The 6,878-nt window shown below is 38.2% G+C and overlaps 2 annotated features.

Annotated features, from left to right (window-relative positions):
• Nucleotides 3,832-4,411: a transcriptional cis regulatory region, noted in NCBI's record as "candidate enhancer chrX.1666 targeted for multiplex CRISPR interference". NCBI's record gives its function as "positively regulates BEX4 and TCEAL8 gene expression in K562 cells {active_cell/tissue: K562}" and the evidence as "EXISTENCE:mutant phenotype evidence [ECO:0000015][PMID:30612741]".
• Nucleotides 6,066-6,648: a transcriptional cis regulatory region, noted in NCBI's record as "candidate enhancer chrX.1665 targeted for multiplex CRISPR interference". NCBI's record gives its function as "positively regulates BEX4 and TCEAL8 gene expression with high confidence in K562 cells {active_cell/tissue: K562}" and the evidence as "EXISTENCE:mutant phenotype evidence [ECO:0000015][PMID:30612741]".

Raw genomic sequence — 6,878 nt, 5'->3', positions numbered from 1 at the left:
AAAATAAATTAATTTTAACAACAGCCCATTGAAATATGTTAGAATTACTTTTTACAAATAAAGGCAGCTGGAGGACAAAGAAGTTAAGTGAATTGTGCTAGACAATAATTGAACCCAAGTTGCCTAAATCTAAAGTCACACTTCTTAACAACTATGTCCTGTTGCACCCTCAGTGCCAAATCAGTGGCTTTTACAATTAGAATATTAGAAAAGGTTTTAGTACACACCAGTATTTGATTTCTTTTTTACAATTAACATATTCAAATTTTCTTTTTTGCCATAATCATGTGTTAATATTATAATCTGAAAATGCCATACCAAATATTACAAATGCCTTAAAAATAATACCATAATGCATGTTAAACTACAAATAAACAATGCAATGCAGTATTTACAACATGTATTACAGATTTGGGCTAATAACCTTACTATTTCGGCAGCTTTTACAACTAAAGAGTAAAATGGACAAGGGATATGAATAGGACATTTAAATAAGGGAAACATAAAGGGCCAGTAAACAAACAGAAACTCTGACAATGGAAGAAATGCAAATGGAAACAAACAAAATTCTTCCTTTGCCTCTTAAATCAGAAACAATTTAAAAAACTGATAAGATTCTGTGCTTGTCTGGGTGTCAGTAAACAGAATTATTGTATGCTGCTGGTGAGAGTTTTGCATTCCCACCAGCAATAAATCAGAGTTCCTCTTGTTCCACATCCTCACCAGCATTTGCAATCGTGGAAGATTGTTTTTATTTGATCCATTCTTATAGGTCTGTGCTGATAACTAATTGTAGTTTTAATATGAATTTCCCTAATGACTAACAATATTAAACATGTTTTCATTTCTGTTTATTTGCAATCTGTATGTCTTTTTTGGTTAAAGTGACTGTTCAGATATTTTGACAATTTTTTAATTGGTTTGTTTTATGTTGGTTAAGTTTTATGAGTTTTTTACATATCCAGGACACAAGTCGTTTATAAAATATGTAATCTGCAAACACTTTTGCCAGTGTGGCTTATCTTTTCACTCTCTTAACAGTGTCATTTTTTTTTCTTTTTTTTCTTTTTTCATTTTATATATTTTTTCAAATTCATTTTTTATTTTTTATTTTTTTATTTTATTATTATTATACTTTAAGTTTTAAGGTACATGTGCACAATGTGCAGGTTAGTTACATATGTATACATGTGCCATGCTGGTGTGCTGCACCCATTAACTCGTCATTTAACATTAGGTATATCTCCTAAAGCTATCCCTCCCCCCCCCCCACCCCACAACAGTCCCCAGAGTGTGATGTTCCCCTTCCTGTGTCCATGTGATCTCATTGTTCAATTCCCACCTATGAGTGAGAATATGCGGTGTTTGGTTTTTTGTTCTTGCGATAGTTTACTGAGAATGATGATTTTCAATTTCATCCATGTCCCTACAAAGGACATGAACTCATCATTTTTTATGGCTGCATAGTATTCCATGGTGTATATGTGCCACATTTTCTTAATCCAGTCTCTCATTGTTGGACATTTGGGTTGGTTCCAATTAACAGTGTCATTTATAAAACAAAAGCTTTTAATTTTCCTAAAGTCCAATTTGTCTTTGTTTTTCTTTTATGGATAATGCTTTTGGTGTTATACCTGAACAATCATTGTCAAAGCCAAGATCACACAGTTTTTCTACATTTTCTTCTAGAAGTTACAACACTGTTTATGTTTTACATTTACAGTTTCTGTTTTTAATTTATACTTAATACATTTACATTTCAATATATGATGCATTTTTAGTAAATTTTTCTATAAGCTGTGAGGCATGTATTGAAGTTTGTATTTTGGACATGCATCTAGTTGTTTCATTTGATTCCTTCTTTTCAAACCTGTATTTCTTGGGATTTTCTACATAGACAATCATGTCAACTGCAAATAAAAAAATTTACTTTTACTTTCCAATTTGTCTGCCTTTTATTTCTTTTTCTTCCTTTGTTGCACTGGATGAGACTTCTGTTATGATGTCAAATAAGAGTGCTCAGAACGGATACCTTTGCCGTGTTTCCAGTCATGGGGGAAAGAATCTGGTCTCTTACCATTAAATATTATGTTAGCTTGAGGATTTTTTTGTAGAAGCATCTCACCAGGTTGAAGAAGTTTACTTCTACTCATAGTTTGCTGAGAGTTGTTATCATTAATAAAAGTTGAATTTTATCAAAAGACTTCTTTGCATCGATGACTATGCTCATGTGGTTTTTCTTCTTTAGACTAGATTGTATTGATTGATTTTCAACTATTGAACTGGCCTTCATTCCTGGGATAAATCCCACTTGGTTGTGGTAAATTATTTCTTTTATATATTGACAAATTCAGTCTGGTAATATGAGGGATGTGGTGGTTAATATTGAGTATCAACTTGATTGGATTGAAGGATGCAAAGTATTGTTTCTGGGTGTGTCTGTGAGGGTACTGCCAAAGGATATTAACATTTGAGTCAGTGGACTAGGAGAGGCAGACCCACCCTCAATCTGGGTGGACACTATTTAATCAGCTGCCAGTGCATATAGGATAAAAGCAGGCAGAGGAATGTGGAAGGACTAGACTAGCTAAGTCTTCTGGCCTCCATCTTTCTCCCATGCTGAATGCTTCCTGCCCTCGAACACTGGACTCCAAGTTCTTCAGCTTTTGGACTCTTGGACCTACACCAGTGGTTTGCCAGGGGCTCTTGGGCCTTAGGCCACAGACTGAAAGCTGCACTGTTGGCTTCCCTACTTTTAAGGGTTTGGGACTCGGGCTGGCTTCCTTGCTCCTCAGCTTGCAGAAGGCCTATTGTGGGACTTCTTGTGATCTTGTGAGTCAATACTCAATAAACTCCCTTGGCCTGGTGTGGCGGCTCAGACCTGTAATCTCAGCACTTTGGGAGGCCGAGGTGGACGGATCACGAGGTCAGGAGTTCGAGACAAGCCTGGCCAACATGGTGTAACCCTGTTTCTACTAAAAATACAAAAATTAGCCGGGTGTAGTGGCATGCACCTGTAATCCCAGCTACTCGGGAGGCTGAGGCAGAAGAATCGCTTGAACCCGGGAGGTGGAGGTTTCAGTGAGCCAAGATCGTGCCACTGCACTCCAGCCTGGGCAACAGAATGAGACTCTGTCTCAAAAAATAATAATAAATGAATAAATAATAAACTCCCTTTCATATATACCTATATCCTGTTAGTCCTGTCCCTCTAGAGAACCCTGACTAATACAAGGGATATTTGTCTTAGTTTTCTTTATTTGCACTATTATTTGTCTTGACTGGTGTCAGGGTAATGTTAGGGCTGTAAAATCAGTTGGGAAGTATTTCCTCTTCTTCTGTATTGGTTTTATATTGCTGTCATAAGAAATTACTACAAGCTTAACATCTTAAACAATATAAATATATTATCTTACAATTATCTAGGTCAGAACAACATAGGTCTCACCAGGAAGAGACCAAGATGTCTCATTTCTTTCTGGGGGCTCTAGGGAAACATCTATTCCTTCCTCATTGAAGTTGTTGGCAAAATTCAAATCCTTGTGTTTGTAGAACTGAGATCTCTGTTTTCTTGGGCAAATCAACAACATAGATGTTCTAAATATCTGACAGACTTTAAAGCTAAGCGCCATTCCCAGTTTCCAAAGGTGGGTACTTCAAATACTGATCTTCTTCTCCAATACATCTTCTAGTTCATATTTACTTTTCAGATACCTCAAATATCTACACCACACATTCTGTCTGGTTTTCATAGCTGTGTTCACTGCTAGAGAAAGTTGAAATGTGTTTATTCCATGATACCTAGAACCAGAACTTCGCTGTACAAATTTTTATATTTACTGTTTTTTTTTTTTATTTTGGAGGAAAAAAATAACAAACTTATAAAAAATTGCGGGGACAGTACAGAAATTTTTTTCCCTGAATTATTTGAAGGTAAGTTGCCAGCCTGATGTCCCATCTATCCTATGAGAGGCAGAATTTTAAGATAATCCCTATGACTTTCACCTCCTGGGGTTACTCCTATCACTATGTTACATGACACAGCAAAAAGGAAATTATCTGGGTAGGCCTAATCTAAGCCCCTAAGCTCTTTAAAAGGAGAAAGTTTTATCTGGCTGATGGCAGAAAGGGAAGTCAGAGAGATTTGAATCATGATAAGGGTTGAATGCATCTCCATTGCTGGCCTTGAAGGTGGAGGGGGCCACATGCAAGGACCAGAAAGAAGCCTCTAGGAGCTGAGAGCAGCTGCCTGTCAAAAACCAGCAAAGAAATGGAGCCATCAGTTCTACAACTGCAAGGAACTGAGTTCTGCAAACAACCTGAATGATCTTAGAAGGGGATTCTTCTCCTGGCCCTCCAGATAATAGCCCAGGACAGCCAACAACTTGATTTCAGTCTTGGGAGACCCTAAGCAGAAAACCAGCTGAGGCTACCCAGAATACTGACTTGCAGAACTATGAGTTAATAAATGAGTGTTGTTTCAAGCTGCTTAGTGTGTTGTAATATGTTACCTGCGATAGAAACTAAATATAATCCCAAATGTCTTTAGTGCATATTTCCCCCAAAGAGACATTTTCCTATATAACTGCAATATGATGATCAAAATTTTAAAAATTAACATTGATATATTATTGCCATCTAAACTTAGAACCCAATAAATTTTCACGTTATTCCAGCAATGTTCTTTATAGCAAAAGGATCCAGTTCACAATCACCTGTTGCATTTAATTGGTGACTCTTTATTATCCTTTCATATAGAGTATGTCCTTAGGCTTTTGTTGACTTTCATGATCTTACAGTTGTTATTTTCTAGAATGTCCCTTATTTTGGATTTGCTTCCTATTTCCTCTTGAATGGATTCAAGTTATGCATCTTTGGCAGGACTATTACCAAAGTGATGTTGTAGTATTCTCTCTTTTTTTTTTGAGACGGAGTCTCGCTCAGTGGCCCAGGCTGGAGTGCAGTGGCATGATCTCTGCTCACTGCAAGCTCTGCCTCGCAGGTTCACGCCATTCTCCTGCCTCAGCCTCCCGAGTAGCTGGAACTACAGGAGCCAGTGACCACACCCGGCTAATTTTTTGTATTTTTAGTAGAGATGGGGTTTCACCGTGTTAGCCAGGATGGTCTCTATCTGCTGATCTCGTGATCCGCCTGCCTCGGCCTCCCAAAGTGCTGGGATTACAGGAGTGAGCCACCGCGCCTGGCCTATAGTATTCTCTTTCTGTCCTATCAGGTGGCACAGAATTTTGGTTTGTCCCATTACTTATAATATCCTCATTGACCATTTGTTTAAGATAGTGATTTCCAGGCCATTTCGGTACTCGTTTTTCCATGGTAATTATTAATATTTTATGGTGAGGAATTTTGAAATTATGTAAATATTTATTGTGTATTTATATATGTATATTTATTTATATACTGACTTATGTTTTCTTTTTTTGATTCAACAAGCTATACTGTGTTCTATATTTCTTTATTTTGATGCTCACAGTGTCTCCTACTTGACTTGTAGAAGCTTCTTCAGGCTTGCTTCCACGTCCTTTTGGTATGCCTCCATCATTTCTTTAGCACTTTGCTTTCTGGCACAGCAAGATGTTCCAGATTCATTGCGTTATTTTCCTGTCCCATCCAACAATTCTCCAAGGATTCCTTGTTCCTTTTATTTAATAATGGCATTTTGAAAGCAAGATATGAACAATTAGTTGTGCTTATTGCTATTGGGGTGTTGTGACTCCCAGGCCCTCTAAGTGGAAGGAATCAGGCAATATTTGTATATACACAGAGAGACACACACACAAATTCTCACACTCATATACATTCACACATTTACATCTATATTTCTGTATCTGTATCCATTGAAGCCATGACTTCACACTGATACCTAACTCCAATACAATACCACCAGGTTCATTCTAGTTTTCTCCCTTTCTATATTTGTAACTCTCTTCAATGACAATGAGAACCTTGGATCCCATTACCTTTACTTGACCAATCCCCCTATATGTAAACAATCTCCCATTTCCTGCACTCCTCGTTCCCTGCTTGGAAGCTCCACTTGACATCCTCCCAACTGTGGATTACAGTCCCTGTTTTCCAACCCACTTTGTAAACCTGTTCTGGCTGAGAAGTAGTGCAACAGACTTCCTCCCTACCCAACTCCTACCATACAGGTACCTTCCTCACACTGTTAGCAGCATGGACATGCTTCTTAACCTGCTCAGACTCTGAAACCCCGCTCCAGTCTGCCACACACTTCCTCCACATGGACACACTCTTCAACCAGATAAAACTCCAATATCTCTCACTTGGCTGTCTCCTGTCTGGGAAGCCCTCATCATAATTTTTAGGCTCTGACTCCCTGCGATAAGCTGCTCTCCCAGCATGAATGCCTTCCTCACCCTGCTCAGGCAAACACAGCTCCCTCCTCTCATCTGATAAAGACACTTACCTTGACCTTCCCCATCTGACAGTGTTGGGACTGAATTGTTGAGGAAGGGAAGGGAAGGGCTGAGGACAAGAAAAACAAACATTTAGTTCTGTTTTATGACTGAACTATGTAACTACATTACCAAACTAAAAGATATAAGCAGCATTGGGCTTAAGTTAAATTCAAAAGTAAGTATAGCCCACGTGTGGTGAAACTGCTCACAAAACAGCACTTGATCACAAACGGATCACCATCTTCATGCCCAATTGAGGATATCTTCTGTCAATAACTCCATTAAAATGATGGTAAGGTTGCCTCTGACTACATGTAAGCAGCAGAGGAGTCAATAGAATCTTTGTTTTTAACTTGGTGCAGGAAGTAAAAAGGGATATTTGTGAGCCAATCAGCAAATAGCTTCTCTCAAGCCTCTGAGATTTCTGGAGACACACCA

Source organism: Homo sapiens, chromosome X (assembly GCF_000001405.40).
Source record: "Homo sapiens chromosome X, GRCh38.p14 Primary Assembly".
Lineage (NCBI taxonomy): Eukaryota > Metazoa > Chordata > Mammalia > Primates > Hominidae > Homo > Homo sapiens.
The sequence above is the reverse complement of the archived record's forward strand: the minus strand, read 5'-3'. Positions and strand labels throughout refer to the sequence as shown.